The following is a 17,595-nucleotide window of genomic DNA, read 5'->3' on the forward strand; positions in this document are numbered from 1 at the left end:
TGTTAGTAACTGCCAAGGCCCTCATTCCCCCCTACCTCCCCACACCTTGTTTTTAGTGTATTCTAAGCATTTTGCATAAACTATTAATTTCCCACCACTGGTTTTTTTGTTTGTTTTGTTTTTTAAGGAATTTGACCCTCAGAGAAGCTGAGGTTTGGTGAAAATCTCACTGCCTGTAAATGGTTGAGGCCAGGATTAACCCTGGTCTGACTAACTACAAAGTCCATGGACTTAACCACTAATATACTGCCATTCTCCAGAGAGAATGGAAACAACAGCTCGAACTAAAACGAGCCCTTGCTAGAGGCAGGAGTGTTTCATCTTGGCACAGGGGCAGTACTCACTTAAATTTCCAACTCCCTCCAACTCCCCACTACCCTTGTTGGGATAATGTATGCAAAAGATCTATTTTCCATAGAGCCCATGGGGAGCTGGATGTGCTAGAATGGATATTATTTTAATCTTTAGAACGAGAATCTTTCCATATCCATATGCCCACCATTGCTGTCCTAATTTCTTAAACTTCCTGGAATTGTGTCACACGTTGTTTATCAGTAAAATTTCTTCTTCCAGAGAATTTGTTAGGTATGTGGTTTGGAATGATAGGATATCATCAACTTGCAGGGACAGGCTTGTAGGAGGTAGTTCAGATATTCTTGTCTTTCCCTCTAGACTATGAGCAGCTTGGGTGTAGGTACTGTCTTATCTCTGTATCTTTTTAGCACCTGTCTTAGTGTTTGGTACATACTGAGGTGCTCAGTAAGCCTTGGTTAAATAAGGCATTTGATGAGAATCAGTGAGGGACTGATTTGTGGGGAAGGCTTGAAAGGAAGCAAAACAACATAGATTAATCAAATTGCAATGTACTTTTGCAACTTTTACTGTAGTCTGTAGTTTTAACCTTTTATGCGTCTCCTCCCTTAATTTTTTTTTTTTTTTTTTTTTTTGAGACAGGGTCTTGCTCTTGTCATCCAGGCTGGAGTGCAGTGGTGAAATCATGGCTCACTGCAGCCTCAAACTCCTGGGCTCAAGTGGTGCTCCCACCTCAGTCTTCTGAGTAGCTAGGACTATGGGTGCACACCACTATGCTTGGCTAATTTTTGTGTATTTTTGTGGAGATGGGGTCTCTCTATGTAGTCCAGGCTGGTCTCAAACACCTGGGCTCAAGCCATCCTCCTACCTCGGCCTCCTAAAGTGCTGGGATTATAGGTGTGCCCCACCACACCTGGCCCTCCCTTATATTTTTAAGCAAAGTTTCTAGAGATAATGGAGGATTTAAAATTTTAGCTTTTCTTTAATCCTGTTCCTTTCTTGGCAAGTGGTACAAAGAATAGTATAAAAAGTAAGGATCTGGCCTGGTGCGGTGGCTCACGCCTGTGATCCCGGCAGTTTGGGAGGTCCAGGTGGGTGGATCGCTGGGCAACATGGTGAAGACTCCTCTTTACAAAAAATACAAAAATTAGCTGGGCGTGGTGGCATGTACCCGTAGTCCTAGCTACTGGTTGCAGCAAGCCGAGATCATGCCACTGCCCTCCAGACTGGGCTTGCAGAGCCAGATCCTATCTCAAAAAATAATAATAATAAATAAATAAATAATAAGTATCCTAGTCCGTTCATTTCATAATGAACTTCAACACTGAAAACCTTAAATGTTGCCATTTTCTAGGGGAGAGTATATTAAGACATCAGCAGAAAAGTACTGCTTTCAGCCCTGGTTGGAGGTGAATGGTTTCTGTGCTTGTTAATAAAAACGTTAAGAGCTTGGGATGATAGTTTTGAACATCAGTGTTTCAAAGAAAGTATGTTTGGATATCAGTGTATTTTTTAAATCACTGTTTTAGCCACAAAACTTTAGATTTTGTTCATGTATTGGGAAGCTTATGAGTTTAAGAACCGAAATTAGTTTTCTTGGGTAATTTAAAAGGTATTAACAAGGAACTTGCCTACAGGAGTGAACTGTAGGTAATAAGGATGTGAATAAGTACAAATATTCTTTCATGTTCTCTTCCCTCAAAGAAGGGTTAAATGACACACAAAGCTGAAGTAGGGATTGCTCTGCCTAAATTATGCAGCTGCCTCCAAGGTTTCCAATAGAGCATTGATGTAGCCTGGCAGGGAGATTGTAAGAAGGCAAGAACAACTGTTCTGGTTAGAACTAATGAGGGGGAAATTAGGGTATGGATTGATTTGTATTTAATTGTTTAATGTATTTTTCGGAAGTAATTTTTTTCCCTAATTCTACTTGGAATTGCATGTTATTATTAAATATTAAGCATTGAGAATGGGGCCTGAATTTACCACTTTATTCAGGGATCGTGTTCCCTGTTTTTAGGGCCACTTCTTCTCCAGTGAGCCCTTCAGTTTGATTGGTGTGGTGTGGACAATTTAGATCAGGCATATAGTGGGGGAATTATAAAGAGGCAAAGAATTTTCTTATCTTTTTTTTTTTTTTTGAGATGGAGTCTTGCTCTGTTGTCCAGGCTGGAGTGCAGTGGCACGATCTCAGCTCACTGCAACCTCCGCCTCCCGGTTTCAAGCGATTCTCCTGCCTCAGCCTCCCAAGTAGCTGGGACTACAGGTGCGCGCCACCACGCCCTGCTAATTTTTTGTATATTTAGTAGGGATGGGTTTTACCATTTTTGCCAGGTTGGTCTCAAACTCCTGACTTCATGATCCGCCTGCCTTGGCCTCCCAGATTACAGTCTTGAGCCACTGCGCCCGGCCAGAATTTTATCTTAAAGCCTTCCTTGCTGGTCAGCAGTAGGTAATTTGGTCATGACTTTCACAAAACATGTCCCAGGTTGGTTGATGTGATGTGATGACAAAAGCACTTCTCAACTTTTTATTTCAAACTTGCAGGAAAGTTGCTCTAGCACAGTAACTGGTATACTCTTCATTTGCCTAGGTATCATTTGTTAACATGTTGCCACAAATGCTTTATTCTATATTTTTTGGTAAATATGCTAACCAAAAAGGGAATTTCCAATCTGAGACTTCCATAATATGGTGAGGCAAGGCAGCATAACATAATGATTAAGAGTATGGATGGGGAGCTAGACTGCCACGGAGGAAACATGTAACCTAGGGCAAATTGCTTAATCTCTCTCTGCCTTGGCCTCCTTGTCTGTAAAATGGGGATAATATTAACCATCTTATAGATTGTTGTGACACTTAAGTTATTTAATGTATGTGAACTTTATAGAGTAATGCAGAGCTCCTAGTAATGTCTTGTGTTTGCTATTAGAATGGATGCTTCAAAGAACTCAAATTTCGTTTGTTGAACTAATGCCCTTGAAGGTCTTTTTTTTTTTTTTTGAGACGGAGTCTTGCTCTGTCTCCCAGGCTAGAGTGTAGTAGTGCAATCTTTGCTTGCTGCAACCTCTGCCTCCCGGGTTCAAGCAATTCTCCTGCCTCAGCCTCCCGAGTAGCTGGGACTACAGGTGCCCGCCACCACGCCCGGCTGATTTTTGTATTTTTAGTAGAGGAGGGGGTTTCACCATATTGGCCAGGCTGGTCTCGAACTCCTGACCTCAAATGATCCACCCACCTCGGCCTTCCAAAGTGCTGGGATTACAGGCGTGAGCCACCATGCCCGTCCGAAGGTCTCTTAAAACCTGAGAATCTGTGGTAGATGTAGGTGCTTGCATTACAGAATATATGGGCTTCCTGAGTGGGTAAAGCTAACTTTTAAATTTTTTTAATGGGAAAAAATTAGTAATAGGTAATATTGGAGAGTTGTGTGGGTGAGGTTCAAAACAACGGTAGTATGAGAATGGATAACTTTAGTAAAGTGAAGTGTCAGTGGGAGGAAGATAAACAGAATGATTTGTATGATTTGTGGACATCATCCTTTTTTTTTTTTTTTTTTTTTTTTTTAGACAGAGTCTTGCTCTGTCGCCCAGGCTGGAGTGCAGTGGCGCGATCTCGGCTCACTGCAAGCTCTGCCTCCCGGGTTCACGCCATTCTCCTGCCTCAGCCTCCCGAGTAGCTGGGACTACAGGCGCCCGCCACCACGCCTGGCTAATTTTTTGTATTTTTAGTAGAGACGGGGTTTCACTGTGTTAGCCAGGATGATCTTGATCTCCTGACCTCGTGATCCGCCCACCTCGACCTCCCAAAGTGCTGGGATTACAGGCGTGAGCCACCAAGCCCAGCCAGACATCATTCTGTATTTGCAACCCTTATTTGTGGACATTTATAAAACTGACATGAGTTCATGAATGCTTCCTGTGAGAAGTGTGCTTCTAAGAAAGGAGTCAGCTTTTATATGTGGAAAAGCCAAGCTGTGGTCTGTGGGAAATACATATGTGTTAGATACAACCTTGCCTAGAAACTTGCGGGTTTATTCCAGCCTAGGAATTTTCCTTCTCTTTTCCTCCCTTTTCTTCATACTTAAGAACCCATGAAACTAGTGTTCTAAATAGTACTTAAGCCAATTTCTTTGAATAATTTTTTTTTTTTACATTTTTATTTTAAAAATGAGACAGAGGCTGGGCGCGGTGGCTCACACCTGTAATCCCAGCACTTTGGGAGGCTGAGGCAGGCGCATCACTTGAGGTCAGGAGTTTGAGACCAGCCTGGCCAACATGGTGAAAACCTGTCTCTACTAAAGATACAAAAAAAAAAAAATTAGCTGGGCATGGTGGTGCATGCCTGTAATCTGAGCTACTCGGGAGGCTGAGGCAGGAGAATCGCTTGAACCCGGGACCCGGGAGGTGGAGGTTGCAGTGAGCCGATATCATGTCATTGCACCCCAGCCTGGGCGACAGGGCGAGACTCCGTCTCAAAAAAAAAAAAACAGAGAGACAGAGTCTTGGTATGTTGCCCTGTCTCCAACTCCTGGGCTCAAGTGATTCTCCTACTTCAGCCCCTGGAGTAGCTGGGACTACAGGCACACACCACCTTGCCTGGCTATTTAAGCTAATTTCTTTTGGCACTCTGTAGCCTCCCACATTCAGTTCCTCACATTTATTTTACCTATAATTTCTTCTACCAATTCTCCTGTATTTTCTCCTTTTCTTTTGCTTTCCTGTTCTCTGTGGTGTCTTCCTTTGTCTCTCTTTGCCTCCTCTTGCCTCCCCTATCTTTTTTTTCTTTTAGGTTGGGTTTCCTTTTTTTCCCTTTAGGTTTTCCCTTAGGTCTTCATGGGCGTTGCTTTGCCTCACTAACAGTTAACATAAAGACGTATTTCTGTTTCTTGTACCCATGTGCTAAAGGTACAACTGTTAGGATACCACTTCATTTCAGTTAGATCTAGTTTAGGCATACAATTGTAATCCAAGAAGACTGATCTCTTCTAGTGATTCAGATTGGTTTTATCTTTGATTTTTAGATTTCATCTGCATTTCTTGATTAATTACTCATTTTGGTTTAGTTGACAGTTGAGCAAAAAAAAAATTACTTTCTCCGGAGTAAATCATCTGTTTTATTTATGCTTTCTATGTTGTTCTATGTTGTAGTGCAGTAGCACATTAGGAGGTATCTTTGTGGAGTGAAAAGATTTTTGTGGCTGGGCGCGGTGGTGGTTCATGCCTGTAATCCCAGCACTTTGGGAGGCCGAAGGCAGGTGGTTCACCTGAGGTCAGGAGTTTGAGACCAGCCTGGCCAAAATGGTGAAACCCTGTCTCTACTAAAAATACAAAAATTAGCCGGGCGTGGTGGCGGGCGCCTGTAATCCCAGCTACTCGGGAAGCTGAGGCAGGAGAATTGCTTGAATCTGTGAGGTGGAGGTTGCGGCGAGTGGAGATCGCACCACTGCACTCCAGCCTGGGCAACAGAGTGAGACTCCGTCTCAAAAATAAAAAATAAAAAAAAAAAAGAAAGATTTTTGTTACACGGTTGGGCTCGGTGGCTCACACCTGTAATCCTAGCACTTTGGGAGGCCGAGGCAGGCGGATCACGAGGTCAAGAGATTGAGACCATCCTGGCCAACGTGGTGAAACCCTGTGTCTACTAAAATTTCAAAAATTAGCTGGGCGTGGTGGCACATGCCTGTAGTCCCAGCTCCTCAGGAGGCTGAGGCAGAAGAATCCCTTGAACCCAGGAGGCAGAGGTTGCAATGAGCCGAAATCGCGCCACTGCACTCTAGCCTGGCGAGAGAGTGAGACTCCATCTCAAAAAAAATAAAAAAATAAAAAAAAAGAAAAGAAAAGATTTTTGTTTTAGGAAGCTCATATTTTAAGAAACTAAAATATATTCTCATGGTTGAGGACATAAGACATTGTTATAGAAACTAGGTCAACTTCTCAATACCTTTATCAAAGCACCTGCAGTTCCCATTTCATTGCAAGTGAAGTAAATCTCATTGAAATAAAGTAGCTGGTGTATATTCAGTACACTTTTAAAATAGCCTATTTTAAAAGAGAAATTGGTGCCAATCTGATTTATTTCCTGCTTTGTTGGAATGGGGGAAGTTCTGTAACCTCATTGCTGTTCTGCTCTCTATTGACTACTTTGTTAACTGGGGCACAGTTGGCCTCTTGGATGTCTACCGTGCTGAAGGTCAGCCAAATAGGCAGGTAAGACTACCTAGGCCTCTTCATAGGCCTAACTAAGATCACAGTTGGAAAAAAAAAAGTATAGAAAAAGAAAAGAAAGTTGTTTTTTTTTTCTAAAATTTAACTTTTTGTATTCATTGAAGAAGGAAGTAAAACATCTCCATTCAAAAGAAATTTGAGAGTCTGTTTATGCCATACACTGAAGTACAACAATAAACAAAATAGACCTACTGTTTGTTCTCAAAGAGCTTACATTCTAGTTGTGAGAGACAAATAATAAGCGAGTAAATATGTAGTATGTCAGAGTGTGGTAATATTATTGAGAAAAAAGTAAAGTAGAATGAGTAGTATGGAGGAAAGAACGTCTCAGGGTGGGGGTGAGGTTATTTTATATAGAGTGGTCAGGGAGGGTCTCATGTGTAAGGTATGTTTGAGAGAGACCAAGAGAAATGGAGGATGGAGTCATGTAGATATGAGGAGTAGGAAGTGCAAAGGCCCTGAGGCTGGTTATTGCCAATGAACAAAAGAGATTGAGGGGAGGGAAGGAGAAGTAAGAGACCTGTCCAGAGAGGACCAATGGGAATGTATTTTGGGGGAAGGGGAATAATGTAGGGTCTTGTTGTATACTATATTGTACAAAGAAAAATTATCTCCACTTCAAACCCCAGAGACAACGGCTGTTACCGAATTTTTGTGTCTTTCTTGTAACTTGAGGTAGCACCTGACCCAACCTCCATATTTCTCCCATTGTGGAATCTCCATGAAAGTATAGTTAGCAGATAATTTGCATAGTAGCAGATTTTGCATAGGTTGATTACCTTTGTCTTAGAGAATGATAATAAGGCAGCTACTTAGAATAAGCTGATATGTTTTTGGGAAGTGGGATCAAAATTTTTCTTTTTCTTTTTTTTTTTTCTTTTTTGATACAAGGTCTGTCTCGGCAGTGTTAACAATCTCAGCTCAGTGCAGCCTCCGCCTCCCACGCTCAAGCCATCCTCCCACCTCAGCCTCCTGAGTAGCTGGGACTATAGGCATGCACTACTACACCCAGCTAATTTTTGTATTTTTTTTTTTTTTTTGTAGAGACAGGGTTTTTCCCTGTTGCCCAGGCTGGTCTCAAACTTCTGAGCTCAAGTGATCTGCCTGCCTCGCCCTCCCAAAGTGCTGGGATTACAGGTGTGAGCTACTGTGCCCAGCCCCCAAATTTTTCTTTCCAAGAGAAATACTGTATATTTCTCCATCTTCTTATCTAACTAGTCAGTTTTCTATAAGCAGGAGTGACAGCCTAGACCTGTACAGTTTCCTTTTGAGGACAAAATTTATTGGTTTGGTTTATGTGCTTTTGACCAAATAGGCTTGCCCCACTTGTCTGCTGCTTCTCCTTTTGCTCATTTGACCAAAAAGCTCCTGTTTCCCCATGCCCTGATTGTTGAGAATTCATGGCTTTGAGGACCCCTTTATAGGTCACCATATCCGTATTTCTGTCTTGCACATTGGGAGAGATGATTATCCCTGAAACTAACTTTCCTTATGTTTGTTTAGGCATTAGAGGTTATTAAAGCACATCCTGAGCCACTTTACCTAGTTGACTTTGGAGTTGAGGAAGAAGCACCAACTATTTAGTGATTTGATGTTCCATGCATATACGAAAGTAAAAGGATATTTGATTGAATACCTATGTCTTGAATCACACACTGTTACTTTCCCTCTTAAGATTTCTGGTTTAGCTGGTCTGTCCCTCAGTGAGAGTCTCTGTCTCGTTCTCTCTCTCTCTCTCTGTCTCGCTCTGTCTCCTCTCTCTCTCTCCCTCTCCCTCTTTCTCTCTCTTTCTCTCACCCGTCTCCTCCTCTCTCTTTGGAGTTTTTAGCCCTGGCTCTTAACCTGGTTACCCTCTGTTCTTTCCTTTAATTATGCTTATCTGGTTGTCATCTGGTTACTTAATATTAGGGATGCCCTCAACCAAGAAACTTTTTTTCTTCCCATCTCCTCCTTTGTTCAGGTAACTGTATCGTCTTGCATGGGAAATAATCCAGGCAATCAGAGATTACCCAAAATTTTGAAATTGTTTTAAACAACTGGTTTATATGTATTACTTCATCATATATAGATGGTGTGAGATGTTTGTGGTTGTCTTGAGAGTTTTTTGAGATAGAGCTTTGCTCTGTCATCCAGGCTGGAGTGCAGTGACATGATCATAATTTATTGCAGCCTTGACTTCCCAGGCTCAAATGATCCTCCCATCTCAGCCTCCATCACATCTGGCTACTTTTTGTGTTTTTTGTAGAGACATGGTCTCTATATGTTGCCCAGGCTGGTCTCGAACTCCTGGGCTCAAGTGATCCTCCTCCTTTGGCCTCCCAAAGTGCAGTAATTACAGGCATGAGTCACTGTGGCCAGCCTGAGAGTACCTGAGATTATGTTTTTTTTTTTTTTTGAGACGGAGTTTAAGCTCTTGTTGCCCAGGCTGGAGTGCAATGGCACGACCTCGGCTCACTGCAACCTCCACCTCCTGGGTTCAAGTGATTCTCCTGTCTCAGCCTCCTGAGTAGCTGGGATTATGGGTGCATGCCACCACGCCTGGCTATGTCTTTTTTTTTTTTTTTAAATTAAAAAATTTTTTTGGCTGGGTGCAGTGGCTTACATCTGTAATCCCAGCACTTTGGGAAGCTGAGGTGGGCGGATCGCTTGAGGTCAGGAGTTAGAGACCAGCCTGGCCAACATAGCAAAACCTCATCTCTACTAAAAAAAAAATATAAAAATTAGCCGGGCGTGGTGGTGGGTACTTGTAGTTCCATATACTCAGGAGGCCGAGGCAGGAGAATGGCTTGAACCCTGGAGGCGGAGGTTGCATTGAGATTGCACTATTGCATTCCAGCCTGGGCAACAGAGTGAGACTCCGTCTCAAAAAACAAAACAATTTTATTTTTGGTTTTGTTTTAAATGTACCTTTATTGTTTGACTTTGGGATCTGGGAGAGAGTATGTCTTTTAATGCCATTCTTCTTTCTTGAGTCTTCGGTGACACATGTTTACTTGTGGGAATATTTCACTTTTTAGTTCTTTTAAAGACCTTTTGCTATTCGCTTGCTCTTACTCAAACCAGAAGTTAAAGTGGCTTGCATAAGTGTCAGAGGTAACCACTTGGATCCAGAGTTTCTGGTTCTCTCTCTGTTGTCAAGTGGTTTAGAATTATCTAGGGTCTTTAATGGTAGATTTAAGACTTTGGAGTTCTTTTGGGATAGAATATGCAACCAGGTTTTGAAAATTTGGCATAGCTCTTTGTTCCTTGAAGGCCATCTAAGATGTTTTAAACATAATTGTGTTCTCCAATCTGCAGTGTACAGAGGGATATCCTACAATGTAGCAACTCGGGATTCCAGAGAAGATGGTGCTGGCAAGTGAGACAGTTCTTCCTTCTAGGTTCTAAGTCTGCAGTACAGGAGTTAGGACTGTGCCATTCCAGCCATCCTTATATTTAGATTCATGCTTTCAAAGAGCCTCTAATCTAGACTGAATAATGATCTGAGCTGTCTGGTGAGCAGTAAAACTGGCCCAAATAATGTATTTTATAACCAGTGCCCTTTTAGCAAGAAAGTCAGTGGGTTGTTAGGGATAGGCCACTACAGTGGTTCACAACAGGCCATAAGAGTCTATGAGGGTTTATTTATTTATTTATTTATTTATTTATTTATTTATTTTGAGATGGAGTCTTACTCTGTTGCCTAGGCTGGAGTGCAGTGGCGTGATCTTGGCTCGCTGCAACCTCCGCCTCCCAGGTTCAAGTGATTCTCGTGCCTTAGCCTCCTGAGTAGCTGGGATTAAGGCATGCGCCACCATACCTGCTTAATTTTTGTATTTTTAGTAGAGGTGGGGTTTTGCCATGTTGGCCAGGCTGGTCTCAAACTCCTGACCTCAGGTGATCTGCCTGCCTCAGCCTCCCAAAGTGCTGGGATTACAGGTGTGAGCCACCATGCCCAGCCTATGAGGGTTTTTTTTTTTTTTTAAGACATGAATTCCCAGACTTCCCTGTAGAAACTGATGTAGAGGGGGGATTTAATTTTTTCAAAAAGCTCCCTAGGTGATTCTGATCATTCACGTTTGAGGATCACAAAACCTGAATATTTGAATTAAGCTTACATGTATATGTTATTTCTCAGGTGGATGGTTATTTAGTTAAGGTGAGAAGTAGAGCCAGGCACGGTGGCCTGTGCCTTTGGTCTCAGCTACTTAGGAAGCTAAGGAGAGACTTGAGCCCAGGAGTTTGACACCAGCTTTGGCAATATAGGGAGACCCCGTCTCGAAAAAAAAAAAAAACAACACACACACACACACACACAAAACAAGAGAAGTACAGAAGATGGTTTATTGTAGTAGACATGACGAGAAGGTCGTTAATTTGAAGTGAAGTGATTTACCTCTGTGTCCTGTATTGTTTTGGAATTAAAGATGTTACCTCTTGATTTGGGGGTTATGCCAACACTTAGCATGGTATGGAGGACTCGCCTATTGGGAGGAAGGGAAAACTTTAGACTGTATCTGTGGTTTTAAATTGTGGAACAAATTCAGGAGAGGATGTTAGCATTGAAATTTAGCTGGACAATTTGTTTAAAACTGGACAGGAAGGGCCAATGTTACTTCCTGTCTGAAAAGGAAGCGCTGGCTTCCTTCCCTTCCTCCTTGGTTAACTCTGGCCAACTTGGAATATGGGTGGGGGAGGGGCTGGTTATGTTAGTAATCGTGTTACCACTAATGTTCGTGTATAGCCGCTTAAGGTTTACTCTTTTCCTTACTTGAAACATGTAGATGGGTGCTGTGTGTGCTCCTGTTTCCTTGTTCTTATATGGGAGCCCTGTACTAGGTTTGAGTTTAGTCTGGGAAGCCTAATCTCTCAGACGTTACTTTTACATTCAACCTTATATACACCTCCCTTGTATTTTCTGACATTTGAAAATACACCAAAGAGTTGGAGGGAAGAAACTGAAACTCATTTGACACGGAGCGGGGTAAGTTGTGGAAAGGAGAACATAATTGGGCAGAGGGGAGTGGATGACAGAGGTTTCTTATTTTTGAATTGAGCCAAGAAAGCATTCCTTCTAAGTGGGGCCAGTTGGCACTGTTACTGCTATTTTAGTTCAGGCTTCTCCTTCCTACTGACCAGTCAATTGTATTAAGTGTTTGATGTGAGTTTGAACTGAGGTCTCAGGAGGGGAGGGAGCGAGGGAGGGTGGTGGTGGAAACAGCTGGTGCCTTCATCAAGCTATCTCAATTACTCTTCAGAGTGTTTGGGGGTGGGGGTTGGTGGCACAGGAATTAGATGTGTGTTAGCAGAGTCTCAGCAACTCTTATGTAGTGGGTTTGAATTCTCAGGCACTCTTAATGCTATGTGGGATGTTGGCTAGTTGGAATGTAGCTAAACCTTTCCCAGTCACATTCTTCTGCCTCGCCTCCCTGTAATTCTTTCAGCATTGGGCCTGCTTTGGAGAAAGAGGGGTGTGGGAAGTTAGACAGCAAAACAGATTCATCCTTCCTACCCATTGAGTATTCAGCTTAGGTCTTGGGCCCTCCAGAGGCTTTCTTCATATCCATTCATTATTCCTTTAGTTGGGCTTTCTAAATATGTCTGCAAAGAGTCTGAGATACAATTAGAACTGGGACCTCTGGTGAAGTTAAGTTGAATTGTAATCAGTTGGCTATACTTGTCGTCTTCCCTCCCTCACACCCCAGGATTACTGTATTTCTGAGTCAGCACTCCTTTTCTATCTCACCTGCTCAATTTGATGCAGAGAACTTGCCAAGCATCCTTTTGGATTAGCAGCATTGATGTGGGTGTGTTCAGTTCTCTGTCTGGGGTGTGTCTTTTACAACTTTTTTTTTGGTATCTCAGAAAACTCTCCCCTACTAAAAGCTACTATTTTTATCTACTTTAGTATATCTACTTCACACCGTGGTACTTAATTAACTCATTTATTTGGTCTGGGCTATGCATAAGGAAGAATTGGATAAGAATACTAACAGTCATAACTAATTGTTCAGTATTCTTGAGAGATAAAGGGAGTTAGTCTGATACCATGCCAAGTAAGAGACTGTTAACTTTTTTTGTGTATGCTTCAGTGATAGAGTTTGCAATGGCTGGGCTCTGCTGCTGAAGTTCCATAGTGTTGCTAAATATTCTTTTCTATTCAACCCTAGAATGGCTATTGTGTATATTACTGCCCTACCCTTGCCACCTGGTCATACCAGATCCAGATAAGGACTAAATCCTTCTTTTTTTGGTCACCCAGGCTGGAGTGTAGTGGCATGATCTCAGCTCACTGCAACCTCTGCCTCCCGGGCTCAAGTGATTCCCCTGCCTTAGCCACCTGGAGTAGCTTGGATTACAGGTGTGCTCCACCATGCCCGGCAAATTTTTTTATTTTTAGTAGAGATGGGGTTTCACCATGTTGGCCAGCCTGGTCTCGAACTCCTGACCTCCAGTGGTTTGCCTGCTTCGGCCTCCCAAAGTGCTGGGATTACAGGCTTGAGCCACTGTGCCAGGCCAAGGACTAAATCCTTCTAAGTTGTCTGTTTAGACTTAGTTCCTTTGTATCATGTGCTGCTTTAGACCAGGGTTCGGCCCATACTACTTCTAGCAGATCTAAGAAGATGAAAGGAATCTAGGAAAAATAAAGGGAGAAGACAAGACAAGAAGTGATAGCATATTACCAGTTAGTTCCTGGTGTGCCCCTCTGGTTGGAGGACTCTGCTGAGCATCTTGCTCATTTTATGCAAAGGGAATTGAGCCCTTTGGGCAAAGGGTGTTGCTTCTTTGGATTTCAAGAATCTCTAGCTAATAGAGCTTAACCTCTGTTTGCATTTTTGCTTCTGTGATTTAGGGCTAATTTCCAATGGGTTGTACAAGATAATAGAAAAATGTATCATTTATCTCATTCTTGCAGTTAGTGGAGGACCTTTATTAGGAGAGGAGGCTTTCTTTTCTGACTAGGCTCCAAATTTACAGCCCCTGACCCACTTCAGGGGGTTGTGAGCAGGAAAAGCTGATGTTGCTGTCTTGACCTCTTTGCCGCCAGGATTTGGCTTCTGTGCAATTCCTAGTGGTTGTCCTCTCATTCTCTAGGGAAACGGGGAACTTTGCTCCCAGCACCTGATTAAACTGCCTCTTTGTAGGGTGGAGTCCGCTGCCTTTGTTTGTTCTCTGTGGAGCCTGTCTTAGTAATCAACTCTATGCTTGTAGGGAGAAAGTTTGAAAGGCTGAAAACAGAGGTGGATGATAGGGAAGGTGAAGTTCCTAAAGTAGTTCTCCAAATGGGAATATTCCATTGACTGAATCCAGATTGGTAATCAAATTGCCATAATGGGATGTGTCACATGTAGCTGAGCTGAATTAACAGCATCAGTAGCTTTAAAATCCCTAATGCAGTGCCTCCAAAGTGAAGAAACTTGCCAAGTAGGAATCTTAAAAATTCCCTCACCCCCTTCAAACTTTTAGATCCACACACAGTCTTTCTGCTGATTCTTAAAGGCCTGAGCTTTGTCCTACGTAGTGTTGGCTTGGGGCAGAGAGGAGGGTTGTTTTCCCTGAACATGATAAGGAGCTGAGCAGGGCAAAGTGGGGGCTCTGGCCCGTGATTGGTAGACAGGATGCCCTGGAATGCAGTTGGCCTGCAGCCCAGAATCCAGCACTTTGTATTTGTTTGTTTCTGGGAGACTGTGGTCTGGTGCTACTGTGACAGGAAGTGAGAAAGCTGGGAGTGGGGGAACAGAGAGGGTCGATGTCTTTGTGGTTCTCCTGTGAAATCTCTTTGTCCCTGGAGAGCAGCTCTGCTACAGAGCTCTGCTGAGAAGAGAGCAGCCTTTGTGTGTCTAATGGGTCTCGGAGCATCTAGCTACTCCGAGGGATTAGAGAGTGTGAATTCTGACTGTGGCCTTTTGCGTTTTAGCACTTAAGTTATATAAATGGTCCTGATCTCTTAGCACTGGGAAGCTTACTGAGTTTTGTGTGTGCTGCTATTCTTTGTGGATCTCTAGGATTTAATTAAGAAAGGAATTCTAGAAGGAAATAAATGTTAAGTAATGTTCATTTGCTGTATATGTTGCAGGTACCTTGTTGGGTTTAAAAGGGACAGAAGGAAACAGGTAATGCTGAGGTCCTTTACATTTTATATCTCATCCTTCCAATTGGCACCCTACTGCATACAGATCAGGAGAAACCTACCCGCTTAGTATTAAGAGTTACTAGCAATTCTCTAATGTTTGATCATAACTAGAGAATGGTTGGTAGTTTCCTGGGATTTTTCTTCCCTATGTCTAGACTGAAATAGCACCTGTAATACCCTCTCTCTTTTCTGCCCTCTTTTCTCTCTTGTTTTGTGTTTTCCCTGCCTTCCATTCCAGCTGTGAAACAGGCATCTTTTCTCACTTTGTGGATTGGATGGCTGAGTCCTTAACTTTGAGCCAAGCTGGCTGGTTCCTGAGCACACACACAAACCCGCCTTTGATTGTCCAGGAGGACAGCTGCCCTAGAGGCAGATTGCTAACATACCACTAGAACAATCCTTCTTCTCTGTTCTTATGCTGGCTAGCACAATCTTTACTGCCTCTAGTTCCTTCTGTTTCCCACCCCATCTCTGATCTTTGCTTTTGGCTTAGTGAGATGTCACATTAAAAATGAGAGTAGGGATTGGATTTTTTTTCTTGTGGTAGGGTTGAGGGGGTGATCAGAGAATGTGACATGTAGCCAGCTTTCTAGAGCAGGCTTGCCAGTGGTAAGGTAGGTAATTTTTACAGAGTAGTGCCTCTTTTGTTCTTAGCACCTTTCCTCCTGAGTACTAGGTTCTTATAAAAGGGAAGGTAAATCTGAAGTAGGCTGCAAGCTACTCTTCCCAAATTGAGTAAGGTTTTGTTCTTTAAAGTGAAGATAAGACCCAAAAGTCTAGCTGGCTCCATTCCACCTTCTCTTGCCTCCTTCCCCTCTCCGTAAAAAAAATGTCAACTTTGGGTTAACTTCTTAATTGGAACTAGAATGACTTTTTTTTTTTTTTTGAGACAGGGTCTTACTCTGTCACTGAGGCTGGAGTACAGTGGCACAATCTTGGCTGACTGCAGCCTGGAACCACCAGGCTCAAGTGATCCTCCCACCTCAGCCTCCCGAGTAGCTGGAACTACAGGCACATGCCACCACCCCCAGCTAATTTTTTGTATTTTTTGTAGAGATGGTGTCTTGCCATTTTGCCCAGGCTGGTCTCAAACTCCTGAGCTCAAGCAGTCTGCCTGCCTCAGCCTCCCAAAGTGCTGGGATTACAGGCTTGAACCACCTCTCCTGGCCCGAAGAATGACTTTTAACCCCAGGAAACATAGAAAATTCATACTCTTTCCACTTTATCAAGAAGGAGCATGGACTTGGAATAAAATAGGAGTTTTCACTACTTACTACTAGTTGATGAGCTTGGGCAAGATACTAAATACTTCTGGTATATAGGTAGTATACTTATTTATAAAAAGAGGCCATTACCTCAGCAGGTGTTGAAAGGATTATATGATAACTTCAAGGGGAAGAGCAATAATGCACAACTTTCTTCCCCTTCAAGATGGGATTTTCTTCTTTCAGATAAGGAGAAACATTTCCTCCTGCTATCTGTCCTAAAGCCAAGAAAGGACCTTAACACTTCTGATTGATTTATTTATAGATTGACATGCTCTGTCTCCCTGTTGCTTATCTCAAAAGGAAGACATACTCCAAACTTGATGAAAAGAATGCCTTATTGGTCTTTTCAGGGTTTTGAGGAATTGGGACTGTGTAAATCTGGCTCAATTACATGCTTCCACCTTTTCCAAGTTATTTTCAAATGATGGGCAAAGAGGTGGGGGAATGCCATAGATTGAAAGTTTGGTGAGAAGCTGCTATTTTCTTTCTTTCTTTCTTTTTCAAGATGGAGTTTCACTCTTATTGCCCAGGCTGGAGTGCAATGGCGCAATCTCTGCTCACTGCAACCTCCACCTCCTGGGTTCAAGCGATTCTCCTGCCTCAGCCTCCCGGGTAGCTAGGATTACAGGCATCTGCCACCACGCCAGGCTAATTTTTGTATTTTCAGCAGAGACAGCGTTTCACCATGTTGACCAGGCTAGTCTCAAACTCCTGACCTGGTGATCCACCCGCCTCAGCCTCCCAAAGTGCTGGGATTACAGGCGTGAGCAACCGCACCTGGCCGAGAAGCTGCTATTTTAAAAAAGGAATGTGAGCTCAAACAGTTGGGTGACCCCTAGTAAACTCTAAGGTTAAGCTTTTCCATGAATATTTTTTTTTTCCGAGTCTAGGGTATGGAAGGATATAAGGTGTCTTAGTTAATTTTAGGATTTCTCTTTTATGACATGAGACCTAATCAATACCTTTGCATTTCAATGAGGCTTTTTCTTATTTTTCATAGTGTACCTGATCTCTCTCCTCTTGTAGGAAGGAGAAAGGCATTTGGCCTCTCCCCTTCCTTTAGTCTAACACCTTCCTCTGTTTTTTTGCCCCTCCCTCTTATCTTTGTTTCCTTATCGGCCTCTCCCTAAAGCCCTGCTTTCTCCTTTTAAGGCTAGGTGAGGTGTCTTTGGCAAGGTTGCACAGGGATCCAGGTAAGTAACTCAGTCTCTTCTCAGGATTAGAGAAAACTCAGTGTGAACTGTCCCAGTGGAGGGCCTTGGAGAGGCACATGGATAATGGGGGAGGAGAAGGAGGCGGCCTGGCCTGAGAGATCAGGACTTGTTAGACCAGTCCTGTGTGTGCGTCATGCATGCTCCACAGAGAAGCAGGTTTTTTTCTTTCTGTACCCTTTCAGTCCTGGGCCCCCTCACTAGCTGAGAGCCACACCCTTCCTTGGCTTCAAAGCCAGCCCAGCACTAAGCCATTTTAGTATGTTATGGTTTAGAGGGGGTTCTCAGAATACTTGGGAGGGGAAAAGAGAGAAAAAGAAGAATGTTTTATTTGGTCTCAGAATTTAGGAGGTCATGATGGTGGAGGTGATTTTTTTTTTTTTAAGTTGCAGTAAAAACTTTAAATATTGACAGGTAGCTTTGGGTAAGGATTATAAGACTAAAGGGAGTTTAAGGTACCCTGTTGA

At 42.9% G+C, this 17,595-nt stretch overlaps 1 protein-coding gene and 1 long non-coding RNA gene across 23 annotated transcripts in view, besides 3 other annotated features; both read left to right on the forward strand.

Annotated features, from left to right (window-relative positions):
• TMX2-CTNND1 (TMX2-CTNND1 readthrough (NMD candidate)) overlaps positions 1-17,595 on the forward strand; it is a 106,658-nt gene that overhangs the window by 52,014 nt on the left and 37,049 nt on the right.
• Positions 1-17,595, forward strand: part of CTNND1 (catenin delta 1) — a 57,739-nt gene that overhangs the window by 2,735 nt on the left and 37,409 nt on the right. The gene's annotated exons all lie outside the window — the stretch shown is intronic.
• Positions 14,023-14,225: a silencer, noted in NCBI's record as "fragment chr11:57546031-57546233 (GRCh37/hg19 assembly coordinates)". NCBI's record gives its function as "represses an EF-1alpha promoter that drives an FKBP-Casp9 reporter gene in an ReSE screen in phorbol 12-myristate 13-acetate-treated (for megakaryocytic differentiation) K562 erythroleukemia cells {active_cell/tissue: K562(+PMA)}" and the evidence as "EXISTENCE:reporter gene assay evidence [ECO:0000049][PMID:32094911]".
• Positions 14,181-15,067: an enhancer, noted in NCBI's record as "NANOG-H3K27ac-H3K4me1 hESC enhancer chr11:57546189-57547075 (GRCh37/hg19 assembly coordinates)". NCBI's record gives its function as "activates a minimal SCP1, AML or CMV promoter by ChIP-STARR-seq in primed H9 embryonic stem cells {active_cell/tissue: H9 hESC(primed)}" and the evidence as "EXISTENCE:reporter gene assay evidence [ECO:0000049][PMID:30033119]".
• Positions 15,068-15,953: an enhancer, noted in NCBI's record as "NANOG-H3K27ac-H3K4me1 hESC enhancer chr11:57547076-57547961 (GRCh37/hg19 assembly coordinates)". NCBI's record gives its function as "activates a minimal SCP1, AML or CMV promoter by ChIP-STARR-seq in primed H9 embryonic stem cells {active_cell/tissue: H9 hESC(primed)}" and the evidence as "EXISTENCE:reporter gene assay evidence [ECO:0000049][PMID:30033119]".

The sequence above is a fragment of the Homo sapiens genome, chromosome 11, assembly GCF_000001405.40.
Source record: "Homo sapiens chromosome 11, GRCh38.p14 Primary Assembly".
Classification (NCBI taxonomy): domain Eukaryota; kingdom Metazoa; phylum Chordata; class Mammalia; order Primates; family Hominidae; genus Homo; species Homo sapiens.